We start from the raw sequence: 19,487 nt of genomic DNA on the forward strand, positions 1-19,487 counted from the left end.
CTTCTTTTCCTTTGGGTAGATACATAGCAGTGGTATTACTGGATCAAATGGTAGTTGTACTTTTAGTTCTTTAAGGAATCTCCATACTGTTTTCAATAGTGGTTGTACTGGTTTACATTCTCACCAGCAGTGTAAAAATGTTCTCTTTTCACCACATCCAACAAACATATATCATTTTTTTACTTTTTAATTATAACCATTCTTGCAGGAGTAAGGTGGTATTGCATTGTGGTTTTGATTTGTATTTCCCTAATAGTGACATTGAGCATTTTTTCATATGTTTGTTGGCTGTTTGTATATCATCTTTTGAGAATTGTCTACTCATGACTTTTGCCCATTTTTTGATGGGATTATTTGGAGAACAGACGTTATTTAATCTGTGGTAATTCAGTTTTGCGCATATCTGAATTGTGCAAAGCAGAGAGTGTGTGTGCATGCACATATGTGTACATGCACATATACATAGCACATAGTGAGCACTGTTAATATTAACTTATATTACTATGAGTATTGGGGGAGAGTCACACAAATGAATGCAATCTAGAGATCAGCTGGAGCTCTCTCTCTCTTGAGCTCTCCGTATGACTGGTTCCAATCCTACTTCCACCAAGATTCTCACAAGTCCCCAGGAGATGCACATAACTGCAGGCATCTCTACCTCCATACTCCTGCTTCCAGGACATATGTTGTCTAGAAATGTAGCTCAGCCTGCTCCTATATGACAAAAAGGAACCTCCTCACATGAAATATTCATGAGTTGGGTGAATTTTATTGGGGATTCAGTCTGGAGAGGAGGGGAATATTGAGGGCAATGCAAAGAACTTCCAACTGAACATTAGACATTCAACATCTCTTCATGACAGAGAACACAAAAACAAACACAACAAAAACAAAAATAAATAGATGGGACTTAATTAAACTAAAAAGCTTCTGCACAGCAAAGGAAATGGCAGAGTAAACAGACAACCCACAGACTGGGAGAAAATCTTCTCAATCTATACATCCAACAAAGGACTGATGACCAGAATCTACAAGGAACTCAAACAAATCAGCAAGAAAAAAAAATCCCATGAAAAACTGGGCTAAGGACATGAATAGACAATTCTCAAAAGAAGATATACAAATGACCAGCAAACACATGAAAAAATGCTCAACAACACTAATTATCGGGGAAATGGAAATCAAAACTACAATGCAATACCACCTTACTCCTGCAAGAATGGCTATAATCAAAAAATAATAGATATTGGCATGGAAGTGGTGAAAATGGAACACTTTTACACTGTTGGTGGGAATGTAAACTAGTACAGCCACTGTGGAAAAGTGTGGAGGTTCCTTAAGAACTAAAAGTAGAACTACCATTCAATCCAGCCATCCCACTCCTGGGTATCTACCCAGAGGAAAAGAGGTCATTATATGAAAAAGATACTGGCATATACATGTTTATAGCAGCACAATTCATAATTGCAAAAATAGGGAATCAGCCCAAATGCTCATTAATCAATGAGTGGATAAAGAAAATGTGGTATATATATATACCATGGAATACTACTCAGCCGTGAAAAGGAATGAAATAATGGCATTCACAGCAACCTGGATAGAATTAGAGACCATTATTCTAAGTGAAGTAACTCAGAAATGGAAAACCAAACATTGTATATTCTCACTCATAAGAGGGAACTAATCTATGAGGATGCAAAGGCATAAGAAAGATGTAATGGACTTTGGGGACTTGGGGGAAAGGGTGGGAGGGGGTGAGGGACAAAAGACTAAACATTGGGTACAGTGTACACTGCTTGGGTGATGGGTGTACCAAAATCTCAGAAATCACCACTAAAGAACTTACTTATGTAACCAAACCCACCTGTTCCCCAAAACCTATTGAAATAATAAGAAAAAAGGCATCCAAGGTATCCCCAGTCTTTCCAGCAACAACTGCCCCCCTCCCCGCATGGTTTTTTCCTGGCCACCACTCTCAAGGACCCAGCCTGCGCATCTCACTGTCTCATTGCTTCCCTATTTTCTGCTCCACAGCAACCCCCTCCAAAATTTCTCTCCAAACTTCAAAGTTTTCTCAAAAGCAGTTCAGCCCTCCAGTGTTCTTGTTCAACTTATATTTGCAGGCTCATAGGGTGCTGGAAAAAAGGGGGGAAGGAAGGAAAGAAGAAAGGAAGGAAGAAACTTCAAATGCATGACTATTGTTGGATAATGCTCTCATCACCCTGATCTTCCTGAGTACTTGAATGAATATGTGAAAGTTTGCTTTTTCTACAAAGACAACTTCAATAATCTATTAAATGGGAGAGTAAGTTATTTCAACTTTGGAAGCCTATTTTGAAGCCTAAGTTATTTCTACTTTTGAAAGAAGGAAAGAAGGAAGAAAGGAAGGAAAGGGAGGGAGGGAAGAAGGAAGGAAAGAAGGAAGGAAGGAAGAAAGGAAGGAAGAGAGGGAGGGAGGGAATGAATGACTGGAGGGGAATGAGCCAAGACAGAGGGCTTCCTATTGAAGTAGGAATTAGGATAGTCCTCATGCCAGTAAAATGTGGCATTTTGCTATTCCCCACACTCAGAGTTCACCTTCTTTGAAAGGTGAGATGCTCTTACTGATGTGCTAGATGCGGGGCTAGCACAATTCGAGATGGTCACAGCTGGACTCACTCAAGGCCCTGGCAATAAACAGGCTGCACAGAGTTTAATTCAGGGGTTTTACAAAGGTGTGGGCTGGGCTGAGGGGAGCCAATGGCATGAAGAAGCAACCCAGGAGGAATGGCAGCAGCGTGCCATTACCACCCACCCACTCCGCTCCCCGAGTGGTGAATAGCAAGTGGACCTGCCTCTCCAGCCACTGTCCTAGAGGCCATCCCTCAAGGTCACCTGCTGAGGCTCAAGGCAGGCTGGAGAAACCAGAGGAGGGCAGACAGGCAAACAGAGGCTCTCCAGTGCAAGGGCCAGGGAAAATCCTAAGACGTGGATTTTTTGAGAAAATCATGTCGATCACTTGGGCAAGGATCTTGCACTAAACATCAGAGACCACACAAGCTGAGAGTCCCCTGAACAAGTACTTGTGAGCTTTGATGGTATCACACATTCTCAGGAATGGAAGGGACCTCAGGCGGCCTCCTAGTCTAATACCCTCCCTGCAATTTCAGAGGTGAGGAATAACTCCCTGCCCTTTGTATATATTGGGGGTAAAAGGCTTGAGTGTGTGCTCAAGGCCACAATTCCAATAAGTAGTGGGTGGGGTGAAGAAGTAAAGGGAACGAGGGTGACCTGAACCTGGACCTCCCGGCTTCTCATATCACACTCTTCACACTTCACTTTCCATGACAATAACAGATTTATGGTTACAGTTGGACTCTGGAATATGAAACATATGCTGATTTCAAGGTGAAAGCTCTCGGTTTAAAAAAAAACACAACATTGTATTCACGTGTCCAAACATATATGCAGAAAAACAACTGCATAGCTGGTTATATCGCTGAACAATCAGGTTCTACAGCTGATGAGGAATTCCTCAATTGCATGAACGCTTTCTTAATTCCGGTGTATAACCACCTTTAGAAAGTGATAGTAATCTTTAATTTTTAAGGCATTCATTTTATTTCTCTGAGGCCTATGTGTGTTTCCGTCAGGCGACAGTGGTTGTGTCTACCAGAGATCAAAACAGCTGGCAGAAAAGGGAGACATGGGGTTACATTTGAGGCACATCAATTTAGTCAAAACGTGGGGATATAAGTGAGGCTTACCATACACTAAGAAGGATCTTGGAAATCGTTCTTTTCTAACCTACAGGTTTTTGCCCAGAGGCAGCATTCAATGGAGCGCCGAGTCCAGAGTTGCAGGCAGGCCTCTGGGGCCACCCGCTGGAAGCCTGGGTTATAACAACGTGTGACAGCACAGGGACCTGGGCTGTGGGCGTCCTGTTCGCCTCTGGGAGATGGTGGCTACAGTGGAGAGATGACAGAGGAGTTTGGGTCAGGGTCTTCTCACTTTCTAGCTGTGGCAATTGAGTCTAATCTTCAGCTTCTCAAAGCCTCACTTTTTCTCTCTCTAAAATGGGATTCATGATACTCTCCGGGCTAGATTGCAACGAGCATTAAAGATAAAAATGGTCCATGCACAAGTGACGCTTGCTATATTGTAGGTAGTGTTCTAAGGGCATCTCTTATGGATTGAATTGTGTTTCCCCAAAAACATGTGTTGAAATCCTCACCCCAGGTACCTCAGCATGTGACCCTGTTTGGAAATTGGGTCTTTACAGATGGCATCAAGTTAAAATGAAGTTCTTAGGGTGGGCCCTAATCCCACATTTCTGGTGTCCTTATAAAAACGGGAAATGTGGACAGAGAGACTGACCTGCCCCCAGGGAAGATGATGTTTGGAGAGGGAGAGATGGCTCTGTAAACCAGACAACACCTGGGGCTACGAGAAGCTAAAGAACCAAGGAATTTTCAGAGGGAGCACGCCCCATCCACACCTTAATTTCTGACTTCTGACCTCCGGAACTAAAAGACAACACATTTCTGTTTCTCTAAGCCACCCAAACTTGTGGTACTTCGTTACAGCAGGCCTAGGAAAGGAATTCCACATTTCGTCCTCACCGTGGCCCTAAGGGATAAGTACTATTGTTAGCCCCGCTTTCCAGGTAAAGTAACTGAGGGGCAGAGAAGGTGAGTTGCCTGAAGTCTTACACCACCAGGTATACTGGAGCCAGGATTTAAATCAGGCAGCCTGGATCCCGAGGCTCAGCTCTTCACCACTGCAATCTACTAACACTTGTGCAACCAGAATGAACCAGCACTCCACGCGATTCCCAGCACTCAGGAAGCCCACAGGAGAAGGAAGCTGCTGGTGTTACACTTGCTATCATGCACTCTGTGAAGCCTCCACCCTCAAGGACAGGATGCATTCAGAGGAACACGTCAGTCCAGGTGGAAGGTCTTGGGGCTGAGCCCACTGAGGAAGCGCTTTACCTGGGACTCTGGAGGGGTGAAGCTCATAACCTAGGGCCAAAGGCAGAAATCGATTTTCTGGACACTTACTGATCAGTTTAATTATAATAGTTCCCAGTCCTTGGCCAACTCCTTTGTATCTGGAACTAAATGCTTTACATTTGCATCTCAGTCTTCCACATAACTCTAGGAGATGGAGAATATTACCTCCATTTTGCTGATGCTTAAGAACTAAGATTCAAAGTGGCTGAGTGAGGAGGCTGGAGCCGCACAGCTAGGAAGAGGGCAGAACCCCAGTCCCAACCAGGTCTCTGACTCAGCGTCCGCCCTCCCCCGCACCAGCACCTGCTCCCCTCCAGCCACGGTGTAGCCTCATCAGTTCACCAGGGCTTGCCGTTTTAATACAAATGAACTCGTAAGTCAGGCCTGATTCTGAGACTCTCAGCAAAGTAACCACATGGAGACGCACAGATCTCTGGAATGCCAGACATTCTCTTATCTCTTGCAATCAACTATTATGCATCAAAGTTTACTGTAAATACCTCTAAGGAGGAATATTCTCAGACTAGGGATATCAACAAAGGAGATGGTAATGTTAAGCTTCCTCTTCCTCTGGAAAGAAGCCAGCTGTGGAAAGAGAGGCTCCCAAAGTTCTGAAATCAGGGGTCTCAAGATAATGGATACATTTTAGAGACTGAACGTACACATACTATCTCAAATTGACATGGTTACAAGAAGCAACTTTATATATTCGATTCAGAGCCAAGCAGCCAGAAAATGTTAAATAAGTCAGATATTCCCACTAGTAGGTTCCCCTTAGTACTTTTCCTTGAGCATTTGGAGGTGTAAAGATTAGTTTAGACCCTGCTTAGATTAGTGAACTTTCATATAACTACTTTATACCCAAGAGACTTGAAAGAATTAACAATGCATTGCTCAAAGTAACTAACTTAAAAATTGAAATTTGCCTTGCAGATAACCTCTGTTGGGAAATCCATTTTATTTTTTTAATGTGTTCAAAGACACACTTTGGATGTTAAAGAAGTGGTTTCCAATGAAATATGCAAGATTGAGGTGAAAGCAAAGCTCACAATTTGCACATCTTTAAAAGCAACTCCTGATGTATGTGCCAGACACAGTCATCGTTAGATTCTGAGACACAAATATTGTAAGGCTGAGATAATGGGCTTTGATTATAGTGTGAAGTGTAGGGACTGCAACAAAAATAACCCCAAAAGAGGAGACATCTTTGATTAGGAACATTCACACTCATTGTTTTGAGGTCATTGGACTTAAAAATAAATGCATTGCTTTATGTTTCTGCAGCGCCTGCCAGCTTGGTGCAATTATTTAACAAGCAGAATACAGAAAAGGAAACAAAAATAATTTTCCTGCATAAGGACAAAAATGTGAGCCCTGAAGTTTTGACTTAAACACTTTTTACTTTTAGAAAGCTAATTTTTAACAAAGCTCAAAGAAATTTCCTGACAATCCAATTCATCTTCACCGCTGTGCAAAGTTGGAAAAGAGCAATAATTAATTACTGCATTGAAAATGAAATCTCTTTTGAGGCACACTCCCATTTTATTGAGTTCTTACAGAGGCTTCTCAAAAGATGGTAGATGATATTTGGAGGGAGGAGCTTCTTACTTGGGGCATGTCTACCTCCATACAGGAAAGTCAGCCAACATCTCCATCCTGAAGCACCTCCGTCTTCTGGCTCGTGATAAAGCTTCCTTTTCCCACCCACTGTGCTCCCTCCTCTCCCCAGTGACCAGGTTGGCTGCGTTCCTCACACTAGTAGGTGGCTACTTTGGCAAAAACCAGGCTCCGCCTGCAGGTGGTGGGAGTACCCCTTTTATGTCTCTTTCCGTGTCTTGACCCAGGACAGAAATTCTCCTCATGCCATGGGCAGAGACACTGCACTCATCCCGCAGCTGCCCCACCTGTGCCTGGGGCAGGGGTTGGGAGGTAAGGATAGGAAATTTAACTCAGTAAAAAAAAGCACATTTAGGATAGCTTTTCTTTCTTTATTTTTTGAGACAGAGTCTCACTCTGGTGCCCAGGCTGGAGTGCAGTGGTGCGATCTCGGCTCACTGCAACCTCCTTCTCCTGGGTTCAAGCTATTCTCCTGCCTCAGTCTCCCGAGTAGTTGAGATTACAGGCATCCACCACCATGCCCGGCTAATTTTTGTAGTTTTAGTAGAGACAGCTTTCACCATGTTGGCCAGGCTGGTCTCAAACTACTGACTTCAGGTGATCCGCCCCCCTTGGCCTCCCAAAGTGGGATCAAGCTTTTCAACTGGAGTAGAACTTAGAATGGCCAATGAGTGATGATTTCAAACAGAAGAGACTAGTTACCAGAATATTAGTGGATCAACTTTTAATGCCGGGAATTGATAGAGAATGATGGAACCCAGCTCTTAAGGAGTGTGAACTAATCAGGGACGTTACCAGCTCAATCAAGTACGAACCCATCAGTCAACCATCCCCCGCCCGCTTTTTTGGGGGGAAAGAAACAAGTGGAAGCAAGCTCATTTTTGCTAGCTTGGTTAGTTTTGTTTGTCATTGCTAGAATATGTGACGTAGGTATGATGCTGGCCTGCCCAAGTTCACGGCCTCGGGCCAGGTGCGCCCATAGAGAAGTGAGAGCAGCCTCTCAAGTCTCAGGAGTTAACTTCACAGCAGCCGCAGCTGGTTTGTCCTGATCAATGATCACCGGTGATCTGCATATCAACAGATGGTGCTGGGAGCAGACACTGGGTCTCATTCAGTGATTCACGTCTATAATCCTCCTTGGGTGCTCTTTGCATAAAAGCTGTTGACAGATAATCTGCTTTAGGGATCAAAGAGCAACTCAAGGGGGCTGCATCCTTCTGATAGTTTCCCAGTCCAAGCGGTAGACTCCACGGGAATAGGGGAGATTTTTGAGTTAAAAACAGAAGGAACAGGTAGGATGAGAACTGGCAGGAACTGAGGACCTGTGAAAACCATGTGGCCTAAGTGGAAGGAATTTTGGAGCCCAGCAAACCAGAGTTCAAATCCCATCCCAGCCACCTCACACGACTCATTCCACTTTATTGATCCTCAGTTTCCTCCTCTGAAAAATGGAGATAATCATACCTTTTTTCAGAGTTAAGTGGTTTCAGGTAGGGAAAGCTTTGGCACGATGTCTTCCGCACGATGTCTGGCGCGGAAAAGGCCAATCCTATCAAATGGGCCTTTTAAAAGGCCACTTTTAAAAATGGCACTTTGAAAAATCCTCTTCTAGGGAGGGATGGGGCCGGACAGTCCATTTCTTACTTGATATCTACAGACCATTTGCAGAGGAAAAGTCTCAAATCCCCTTGACGAAAAGAAAAGCAGCACCACGTTGCATCTGCCTTGCACAGGAAGCTGGAAGCTTTGCACGGGGGTGAAAGTTACAGGCAGACACTGCCCGCGGGGCTCCGGACAGCAAGGAGCGAGCCCTCTGAGCCTGGCCACGCTGGCCCGCCACTGCCCTCTGCTGGCGGCTGCGGTCTTCACCACCGCCCGCAGCCGTCCCCGTAGTCCGCCGAGAGGCGCCAGGCTGGGCCAGCCTTGAATTCTGGGTTTGCTTCTCCCGGTTTGAAGGCCACCCCCAGGATTCGCAGGAATCTGACAGCTGCTTGTGACTGTGCTGAAGATGCCGAGAATGTAGGCAGAGCCCGGGCAGGGCCGGCGGGCAGGCGGCCACGCGCTGCAGCAAACGCGAGCCTCGGGGCCTTGAACCTGGAGCCGGGGCCTTGCCTGGGCTGTCCTGGCTGGGAGTCTCGTGCTGTGCCCCCCGCTTCCTCATTCCCCCACCCCACCCTCCTAACCCTTGTTGTGTTTCATTTTCCCTTTTAGGATATGTGCTTCTTATTTGGGATTTTATTATTCTTGACCCCAGCCCTTTCTTTCCCTCCTTCTCTTAGTTCCTCTTTTGGTTGAGTTTATGATTTTTTTAAACCACAATTTGTAATGGTCACTGCAGTGGACGTTTAACTTTGAACACCCCTTTGTTCCTCCAAAGGCGAAATTCCTCCTGCGCCCTGCATGGCCCATTCAGGAGCGTCTGTGACCCAACCTCTCTGGCTCTGGGGAGAGGGCAAAGTGTGGCATCCAGCCCTAGCCAGGCCAGCGAGGAGCCGCATTCCTGCCACAGTGACCGTGGCTCCAGGATCCAGGCTGGGCGGGAGGATTCTTCATGCTGGAGGAATCCATTCCTCTCGGTGGCCGAGCTGGGAAGAAATGTCCCCATGTGAAGACATGGCCCCAGGAAGAGACGCTGGGGCTACAGCCAGGGCCGCGGGGAGGGCAGCAGGGGAGGGTGAGTTCTGCTCTCCTGGCTCCTGCCTCACCCCTGCTTCTTTTTGCAGGAGCCAGCAGCCCTCTCTCTGCCTGGAGCAGCAGGCCTGGGATTTCTGTCACTTGCTTCCTTTGCCTGTCCCTGGCTCCTCTCTCTGCCGTCATCACGTTTCTGGCCACCTTGCCCTCCTCCTCTGAGCTCACAGCTCCTGGGCAGGGTCCTGGCTGTGGAGGGCACCAGTTGAGAGCCACTATAGATGAAGGCTCTAGGCCGCAGTTGAGGCTTCTGAGTACTGGGCCTTAGCTGCCTGACTTTGCCCCTTTCTCCAAGGCCAATCACCGGTGGCAAATCTCACAAGCGACTTTGTGTTAAAAGTGATGACTACCTACGTTTACCTCTCACGAAGAGCTTACATTTAGTTTAAAAATTATCTATGATGAAAATATTCGAATGCACAAAACAGTGTGATAACACGGGACAGTGCTCCGCCCTGGTTTCCTGTGTCTTCCTCCCCACACTGGAATATTTTTAAAGCAAATACCAGACATCCCATCTGAAGTCATAAATACTTCTGTGCCTGTCTCTAGTACTGAGGTACTTTTAAAAAAACATACTCTTGTTATCACACCCAACAAAATGAATATAACTATTTAATATCATTCAATACCCAGTCCATATTGAGTTTTCCATAATTATCTTTAAAATGCCTCTGTGAAATTCGTTTATTTGAATCAGCATTCAGGCCGGGAAAGGTGGCTCACGCCTGTAATCCCAGCACTTTGGGAGGCCAAGGCTGGCAGATCTCTGGAGCCCAGGAGTTTGAGACCATACTGGGCAACATGGTGAAACCCTGTCTCTACAAGAAATACAAAAATTAGCTGTGTGTGGTGGTGTGCACCTGTAGTACTAGCTGCTCAGGAGGCTGAGGCAGGAGAATCACTTGAGCCAGGGAGTTGAAGGTTGTGGTGAGCCGAGATTGCACCACTGCACTCCAGCCTGAGTGACAGAGTGAGACTCTGTCTCAAAAAAGAAAAGAAGGAAAAAAAAAAAAAGAATCAGCATTCAAACAAAACCCATGCATTTTATTTATGTTTCTTGAGTGTCTTTTAACTGATAATGGTTCGCCTCCATTTTATTAATTCTTGTCTATTTATTTATGGAGGGAACTGGGTCATCTGTCTGAAAACATCCCATATTCTGGATTAGGCTGATTGTATCCTCGTGGTGCCATTAGCATGTTCCTTAGTCTCCTGTATTTCTTGCAGACTCCTAGTTTGATCTACAGGTCTTAGATTCAGGTTCCATGTGTCTTAGGCAAGAATCCACTGCACGTGGTGCCATGTACTTGCTCTCGCGTCACGCCATGTGGCTCGTGGTGTCTGTTAAAGTGGATTGGTGGGTTTAGATGGTGTCAGCCTAATCTATCCACTGTCAAGGTTCCTATCAACCTGCATGTAATGGTTTTAGCAACCACCGATAATCATCACCTACATCTGTTCCTTTTAGTCACAAAATCCCTTCCCAGTAGAAGTGTTCTCTGAAACAGGCAGGTTCTTTTAGGCGTGTCTATTTGGACTGTATACCCCTTACATTGAAGTGAGGGGGTGGATCAGTTATCTGTTTTGGTGTAACTGACAACCTCAAACCTCAAGTGGCTTAAACAATAGTCATGTATTCAGCTCACAAATATGCAGTCTGGATGGAGCATGGAAGGGAAAGCTCCTCTCTGCTGGACGCAGCACCAGCAAGGGCAGCTCAGAGGCTGGGGTAACCTGACACCAGAGGGCTGGAAGGATCTGCAGGCAGTTGATGCTGGCTGCTGGCTGAGACCTTAGCTGGGTTGTCAGCAGCTGCATCCACCTGTGGCCTCTCCATATGGCCACCTGGCATCCTTACAGCATGGTGACCATGCTCCAGGCATGAGCACCCCAAGAGAGCAAAGAGAACAGGCTTGGCATTGATTGTGACCCAGATCCAGAAGTTACATAGCATCACTTCTCCTGCATCTGTTGGTCAAAGCTGTCACAAAGGTCCACTCAGGTTCAAAAAGAGGGGACACCACTTGATGGGGGAATGTCAATGTCACAATATAAGAAGAACAAGTAGAATGGGATTTGTTACGGCAGCTTTCTTGGAAAATATGATCTGCCACCATGAGAAAACAAATTCAAATAATTAAGCGGTGTCACGAGCCAGACACATCACAGTTGACATACATTTGTCACAGCTTTGTCTAAGCCATTTAAAGAAGAAACTATTCCAAGACCATGGCTGTAGTTTAGCTCCACTTCTTGCCTTGATAGAATAAATAGACATATTGATATAGTTAGTTATTTAAAAACTTGTGTGTTCACATAATTTGTTAGTTACAAACACATTGATTTTTTTTTTTAAACCCCAGTGTATCCGGCACGATTCGAGATGCTGAGATAGAGCAGAGAAGAAGACGGACAGAATCCCTGTCCTCAGGAATCTTGCTCGCGGGCGGGAGAAGACAGATCATGAACATGTAAGCTGAAAGACAGGACAGTCTCAGGAAGTGAGGTGCAGTCAGCACTGGAAGTAAGTGGAGAGTGTGCGAGGGAGGTGCAGCATTGGCTAGGCGGCCGGGAGGGTTTGGAGGGGGTGGTGAGATGACGCTTGAGTGGTGGCGGAAATAATGACGAGGACACAGCCATGGGAAACCCGGTGTAACAAAGAGCATCCAGGGCGAGAGGGTGGGAAGGAAGAAGTGTGGGCAATGGGGGAGCTGGTGTCGCAGAAAAAGGTAGAGCCCAGTGATGTGGCGCATTGTTGGGAGGATTTAGATTTTACTCGAGGCATAATGGAAAATGCAGGCGGGTCTTCCTTATAGAAAGGTGCCTCTAGGGACTTCTCAGGATGGGAGGTGTTTGAAGGGGAAATCTTATTTCTCACCCTCAGTCTTCCACGCAGGAGAGAAATTCAGCCAACACCTGCCTCCTGAAGAGCCTCCACCCTCTAGCTAGCAGTCAAGCCTCCATCATCCCCCAGCACCCAGCTACGCTCCTCTCCCCCAGTGACTTCAGGTTGAGGTGACTTTGGCAGAAAACAGCTCCAGCCCCTCCCATGCGGTCTGAAGGGTAATGCTGGCAGCCATAGGGGATGAACTGAGCAGGTCAGGATGGAAGCAGGGTGACTTGGGAGGACATAAGGCGGCCTGGACCGGAGTGAGCAGTGGGCGCAGTGAACGGTGGCTGGGTTCCAATTTGTAATGACTAATGTGGGTTTTTTTCTGCATCTTCTCCATTTCAGTTTAAGGCCCACAGAAGGCTTATAAAAAGTAATATGACTTTAAAGGGTTTGATGTAGTCAAAATGATGAAAGTGGAAAGTAATGCAATCTCACTTTTCTTGGCTTTTTAAATTGTGATGTACAAAAATAAATAGTTCCTGAGTGGCGTGCATACCAGCGAGAGGAAATGTACATTCGTTCACCGTCTGTGGGAGGAGCAACAGAACGATATTTATCCAGTGTTTTTTGTTTGTTTGTTTGTGTGTTTTAATTGAGATGAAGTCTCTCTCTGTCTCCCAGGCTGGAGTGCAGTAGCGCCAACTACAACCTCCGCCACCAGGGTTCAAGCAATTCTCTGCCTCAGCCTCCTGAGTGGCTGGGTCTACAGGCGCCCGTCACCATGCCCAGCTAATTTTTTTGTATTTTTAGTAGAGACGGGGTTCCACCATGTTGGCCAGGCTGTCTCGAACTCCTGACCTCAAATGATCCACCCCCCTCAGCCTCCCAAAGTGCTGGGATTACAGGCATGGACCACCGCGCCCGGCCTATCGAGGGTTTTAAAAGTGTTCATTGGAGCCTTGGACCCAGTAACTCCACTTCAAGAAGTCTAACAAAAGAAAGAAATCAAAGGTGGGATTCATGAATGTGGATGTTCAACACAATATTGGAAACAATCTGAACATAAAACCAAACACAAACGATGTATTAAATTCTGCCCCCTTCATTCCTGACCTATTATAAATGGTGCAAGTTTCCATTTTCCAATCTTTCTAAGGTAGTTCAGGTACAATTACTTGAGGCAGAAGGTTGAATTCGACGACCAAGAAGGTCTAAGGGCAATGTTTTTGTGAAATAAATTTTTTGCCTACTTGTAGCTGGTGCCCAGAATTTTGCTCTGGGGTTTACTATTCTCCCAAAAGAGCCAAGTGGCTAAATTTGAAGTGTCTGAAAGTGTCTGAGGAAAGAGAAAATAGTCTTTCCATTTAGGTGTTGGCAGGGTCACTGTGGGAATCTTACTTTCAAATTACAGAGTCCAAGTTGAAAGGGTCTTAGAGATATTCTGGTTAAAACACCCACCCATTTCTGGAGTATCTGTTGTTTTCCAGGCACAGGTTAGGTACGGAGAATAGGAGGGCATGATTCTAGTGCATAAGGGCTTTACAATGCAGCCCTGGGCATAAGAGAAGAATGAAACACGTCACCACAGGCTGAGTGTGGAAGTGCCAGGTCAGATCCACAGTGAGTGAGGAGGTGGGTGGGAGATCCATCCCGGGGGGACACCTGGTGGGTCACATCTGGGAACACTGCAGATCGTAATTCCCACAACTCTGAAGGAAAGAGATGAGAGGGTCTCAGACTCTAGAGAAATGCTAACTGAGTTAGAAATGAGAAGAAATGAGGCCGGAAGAGGCACGATCCGATGCCACAGCTTTACTAAATAGTGAAAAAGCAAGCTCTTAGAAGAGGTCCCAAATCCTTTTTTTTTTTTTTTTTTCCGAGACGGAATCTCACTCTGTCACCGAGGCTGGAGAGCAGTGGTGCGATCTCGGCTCACTGCAACCTCTGCCTCCCAGGTTCAAGTGATTTTCCTGCCTCAGCCTCCCAAGTAGCTGGGATTACAGGTGCCCGCCACCACGCCTGGCTAATTTTTGTATTTTTAGTAGTATAGTTTTTTTTTGAAATAAGTGGGGGCATCAGTGAACCAACCAATCAATGACAGAAGGAGAGATGAGATCTTGGTGCTTTAATCCCATGCCAGGCTAGTGAAATAGACAAGATACTATCACCTGCAACATATGTAACAATAACCAATGACAGCCTTGTAAGAATGGAAACATCTACTCTCTGTGAGCACTGTGCTGTGAGGGTTCCAGAATGACCTCATGGTATCCTCCCATTGACCTTCTGAAGCAGATGTTTTACCTAAGGGAAAACCGAGACTCAGACAGGTGAAGTAAACTCTCCAAATGTACCCTGCCAGTATGTGTCAGAACCAGGATTGGAACTAATCTACGTCTAATTTGTACCCCAAAAGTATCTTACGATATTACTTCTAAATAAGGTCTGTGTACTTGAGTTTGATGGCCCATGTTCAGAGACGTTGCACGATTTAGCAAAGTGTGTAAATATACAAGCCTGAAAGTCAGTGGAAGCCCGCACCAAACTTCAATGACCCAATGGCCACCTTGGGGACTCCCAGTTTCTTTATCTTAAAATGTGGGAGATGGAATTCATGCATCTGCTAACCCTGCTTACTGTCTCTTGTTTTCACTCTGCAACAGCTTTGAAGCCGAAATTTTCACTTCTATTTACTGACTGGAAATAATTGACTCACACAAAAGCATCAGTGAGATTCCTAACAAGGCGCTGGGCTCAGCACTGACAGGAAGACCCCACTCGATGTAGTATCCCCGTCTCTCCTCTTGGCTCCCAGGACCTGACCCCGCTCTCCCTCCTTGCCCAGTGCCCCACCTTGTGTCCTCACTCCCTCACCTCCAGGTCCATCTCCTCTCCTCCGCCGCCCGGAACTCTCGGTTTCTCTCTCTTCTCTGGTAGAGGCCTCAGCTCATTTCCAGTCCCAGTTTCCCAACCAGCAAGCCCATACACATCTCCCTGCTTCAGCAAGCCAAGATCCGCTCCCCTTAAAAATCAGTACAGGGCCATAAATCACATGATTTTTTCCCTCTTAGAGGGATGATTAGACAGATAATTCATGTAACTGAATCACATAATAATCACTGAATGAAAGGCAGCCATTGTTTTCATTAATGGAGAGAGCATACCTTCCCTGCTCTCTTCTCTTCTACACCACTATGAGTTGATGTCATGGCAGATTCTATGGCAGAAAAGCTCTTCGTCTGGGGCTACCACCGCAGAGTGGGGGCATTTTATCACCTTTGGGAAGAAGCACAGCCATCACTAGGCACAGAAATCTATATGTTGTGAACCTGTGGGCCAGAAACTAGGCAGTCTCCCCAAATGGAAATACCATCAACAACTGGAAAGTTTGTGATGAGATCTTGTTCTGGAGTATTGAGAAACAGGAGTCCCACTTACACCAAGCGTGTTCTTTATTCTACCCCAAAGGTAGAGGGAAACAGCAGTGTGGCATATGAGAAGAGAGCCTGGCCATTAGAGGACCTGGCCAGATCTGCTATGAACCATCACCCCACATAACGTCTTGGCCTGCTAGGTGCACCGGGTCAGATGTCCACAAAAGTGGCACGTGTTTACGAAGGGAGAAGGAGGTTGGAGGAGAGAAAAGGTGTTGTGTAAAAAATAGTACAAAATAATCCTTTTTTTTTTCTTTGTACAGATGGAGGTCTCACTATGTTGCCCAGGCTGATCTCACACTCCTGGCCTCAAGCAATCCTCCTGCCTCAGCCTCCCCAAAATGCTGGGATTACAGGTGTGAGCTACCATGCCTAGCCCAAAATAATCTTAAAAGCTGTGTGTCATTATTATTGCCACTGAACGGAGAGTTGGAGTGGTTGAGTCAATATCCCAAGGTCTTGTAGTTGGTAAGTGGTAGAGCTAGGAATCCAACTTCAGAAGCAGCACCTTTGGCCAACAGATCAAGGCCTCTCCAAGCATCGTCTTCATCGTTACAGCTAACAGGTACCAAATACTAAGTCTATACCAAATAGGATGCAAGGTGCATTGCCAACATTATTTGCTTAATCCTCACACCATCGCTGTGAGGTTGGCACTATAATTACCCTCTTCTTAAATAGGAAAGCAGATGGAAACGGTGAGAAGTTAAGTGTTAAATGGCTTGCTCACAGGGACTTGGGGAGGGCGGTGAGGTGTGAGTGTGGGCCATTCAACTTGGGGTAGGGCTTTTGAGCAGTGTGCCGTATTGCATCTCCAGTGGGCCGCAGTGAGCACACCTCCTGCGGCACTGAACTGCAGGAGGGAGAAGGCATTGCTAAGGATCGAGTCCTAAACACCAACTGAACGGGGCCACCGAGCTACGTTGGCTCCTCAGGCACTCTCATGCTGGTGGGGTCTGTAGAAGAACCTGCTAGAGTTGACTGAACTTTTATGAAAGTGACATAACAAGAATTTTAATCATGAGAAATTAGCACAGGACCATGAAAATATCAAAGCATAAGAGAGAACTATCAGCAAGTCATCTTGCAGCCCAGGCCCTGAAGGCGCTCATACAGAAGAAACGTGGACAGGAGGTGGGAACCTGGGCCTTGGCCTTGTGAGACTCTGTCTCTAACTACAACCTTCTGAAGCTCCGTTTTTTAATCTCTGAAATGGGCTGAAAGAATCTCACCTCGTGATTGAGCTACCCTGCGCGGGAAACCACTTGTTTTCCCTGGATCTGTACAACCTACAGGTCAGGAGATCCCCTTGTGAACCCACGCCACCAGGGCCTTGGGTCCCAAGCACAGAGCTGTGCAGATTCTCAGTGGCCACTCGGCTGGAGACACTGCCTAAGACTACTGAGTTCACAGGGGGAGGGGTTGCCACCATCACTGTAGCCCCAGTCTGCCATTTCCCCTGCTGGTGCCAGGGAAACTGGGTGGTTTGGACTCAGGAACAACTCCCCACAGCGCAGCACAGTGGCTGTGGCAGATCATGGCCAGGCTACCTCTTTAGGCCAAACTTGGACCCATCCCTCCTCACCAGATGGGGCCTCCCCGCAGGAATTTCAGCAACTCCAGGCAGGGGTTTAGGGATAGAACTCTGATTTCCTTGGGATGGAGCCCCTAGGGCATGGAGTGGCCATAGTCTCCATGGATCAGCAGACTTGATCTTTTCCCCTGCTGGCTCCGTGGAATCTGGGCAGTCCAGACGAGTGGGATTCCTTCCAGCACAGTGCACCCCCTCCACCAAGGGGCAGCCAGAGTGCTTTGTTAAGCGGGTCTCTGATCCTGTGACTCCTGAGCGGTTGAGACCTCCCAACAGGGGTCACCAGACACCTTATACAGGAGCATTCCCACTGGCGTCAGGTCAGTGCCTCTCTGGGATGGAGCTCCCAGAGGAAGGAGCAGGCAGTCATCTTTGCTGTTCTGCAGCCTCCACTGGTGACACCTCCAGGTGTGGGAGGAACCCAAGCGAATGGAGTCTGGAGTGGATGCCTAGCAAACCTTAGCAACCCTACAGAAGAGGGGCCTGACTGTTAAAAGAAAAACAGATAAACAGAAAGCAACAACAACAGCATCAACAAAAAAGTCCCCACAAAAACTCCATCCAAATGTCAGCAGCCTCAAAGACTGAAGGCAGATAAAGTCATGAAGATGAGAAAGAATCAATGAAAAAACACTGAAGACTCAAAAAGCCAGAGTGTCTTCTCCAAAAGATCACAACATATCTCCAGCAAGGGCACAGAACTGGGCTGAAGCTGAGATGGATGAACTGATAGAAGTAGGCTTCAGAAGGTGGGTAATAACAAACTTTGCTGAGCTAAAGGAGCATGTTCTAACCCAATGCAAAGAAGCTAAGAATCATAATAAAACACTACGGGAGCTGTTAACCAGAATAACCACTTTAGAGAGAAATATAAATGACCTGATGGAGCTAGAACATACAACAAAAGAACTTCACAATGCAACCACAAGTATCAATAGCCAAGCAGACCAAGCAGAAGAAAGAATTTCAGAACTTGAAGACTATCTTGCTGAAATAAGACAGGAAAACAAGATTAGAGAAAAAAGAATGAAAAGGAATGAGCAAAACCTCTGAGAACTATGGGATTAGGTAAAAAGACCAAACCTATGACTGATTGGGGTACCTGAAAGAGACAAAGAGAATGGAACCAAGCTGGAAAACATATTTCAGTATATCATCCAGGAAAACTTCCCCAACCTAGCAAGTCAGGCCAGCATTCAAATTCAGGAAATCCAGGGAACCCCAGTAAGATACTCCATGAGAAGATCAACCAACCCTAAGACACATAATCATCAGATTCTTCAAGGTCAAAATGAAGGAAAAAGTGTTAAGGGCAGCTAGAGAGAAAGTCCAGGTCACCTACAAAGGGAAGCCCATCAGATTAACAGCAGACCTCTCAGCAGAAATCCTACAAGCCAGAAGAGACTGGGAGCCAATATTTAACATTCTTAAAGAAAAGAATTTCAAACCCAGAATTTCATATCTGGCCAAACCAAGCTTCATAAGTGAAGAAGAAATAAAATTCTGTTTGGACAAACAAATGCTGAGGGAATTCATCACCACCAGGTCTGTGTTGCAAGAGCTCCTGAAGGAAGCACAAATATGGAAAGGAAAAACCATTACCAGCCACTACAAAAACAGACTGAAGTACAAAGACCAATGACACTATGAAGCAACTACATCAACAAGTCTGCAAAATAACCAGCTAGCATCATGATAACAGGATCAAATTCACACATAACAATATTAACCTTAACTGTAAATGGGATAAACGTCCCAATTAAAAGACATAGAATGGCAAGCTGAATAAAGAGTCAAGACCCATTGGCATGTTGTGTTCAAGAGACTTATCTCACATGGAAAGATACACATAAGCTCAAAATAAAGAGATGGAGGAAAATTTACCAACCAAATGAAAAGCAGAAAAAAGCAGGGGTTGCAATCCTAGTTTCTGACAAAACAGGCTTTAAGCCAACAAAGTTCAAAAAAGACAAACAGGGGCATTATATAATGGTAAAGGTCTCAATTCAACGAGAAGAGCTAGCTATCCTAAATATATATGCACCCAATACAGTAGTACCCAGATTCATAAAACAAGTTTTTAGAGACCTATAAAGAGACTTAGACTCCCACACAATAATAGTGGGAGACTTTAACACCCCACTGTCAATATTGAGACAGAAAATTAACAAAGATATTCAGGACTTGAACTCAGCCCTGGATCGAGTGGACCTGATAGATATCTACAGAACTTTCCACTCAAAAACAACAGAATATACATTCTTCTCAACACCATATTTGTCACTAACTGTAAAATCAATCACATAATTGGAAGTAAATCACTTTTC

General features: G+C 45.8%; 1 protein-coding gene across 1 annotated transcript in view, besides 4 other annotated features; it reads right to left on the reverse strand.

Annotated features, from left to right (window-relative positions):
• The window catches only part of ENPP6 (ectonucleotide pyrophosphatase/phosphodiesterase 6), a 129,168-nt gene that overhangs the window by 71,437 nt on the left and 38,244 nt on the right, over positions 1 to 19,487 (reverse strand). The window lies entirely within an intron of this gene.
• Positions 7,270 to 8,041: an enhancer, noted in NCBI's record as "OCT4-NANOG hESC enhancer chr4:185088565-185089336 (GRCh37/hg19 assembly coordinates)". NCBI's record gives its function as "activates a minimal SCP1, AML or CMV promoter by ChIP-STARR-seq in naive and primed H9 embryonic stem cells {active_cell/tissue: H9 hESC(naive and primed)}" and the evidence as "EXISTENCE:reporter gene assay evidence [ECO:0000049][PMID:30033119]".
• Positions 8,502 to 8,551: an enhancer, noted in NCBI's record as "active region_22188". NCBI's record gives its function as "activates an Ori minimal core promoter by ATAC-STARR-seq in GM12878 lymphoblastoid cells {active_cell/tissue: GM12878}" and the evidence as "EXISTENCE:reporter gene assay evidence [ECO:0000049][PMID:35858748]".
• Positions 8,692 to 8,741: an enhancer, noted in NCBI's record as "active region_22189". NCBI's record gives its function as "activates an Ori minimal core promoter by ATAC-STARR-seq in GM12878 lymphoblastoid cells {active_cell/tissue: GM12878}" and the evidence as "EXISTENCE:reporter gene assay evidence [ECO:0000049][PMID:35858748]".
• Positions 10,602 to 11,103: an enhancer, noted in NCBI's record as "H3K4me1 hESC enhancer chr4:185091897-185092398 (GRCh37/hg19 assembly coordinates)". NCBI's record gives its function as "activates a minimal SCP1, AML or CMV promoter by ChIP-STARR-seq in primed H9 embryonic stem cells {active_cell/tissue: H9 hESC(primed)}" and the evidence as "EXISTENCE:reporter gene assay evidence [ECO:0000049][PMID:30033119]".

The sequence above is a fragment of the Homo sapiens genome, chromosome 4, assembly GCF_000001405.40.
Source record: "Homo sapiens chromosome 4, GRCh38.p14 Primary Assembly".
NCBI lineage: Eukaryota > Metazoa > Chordata > Mammalia > Primates > Hominidae > Homo > Homo sapiens.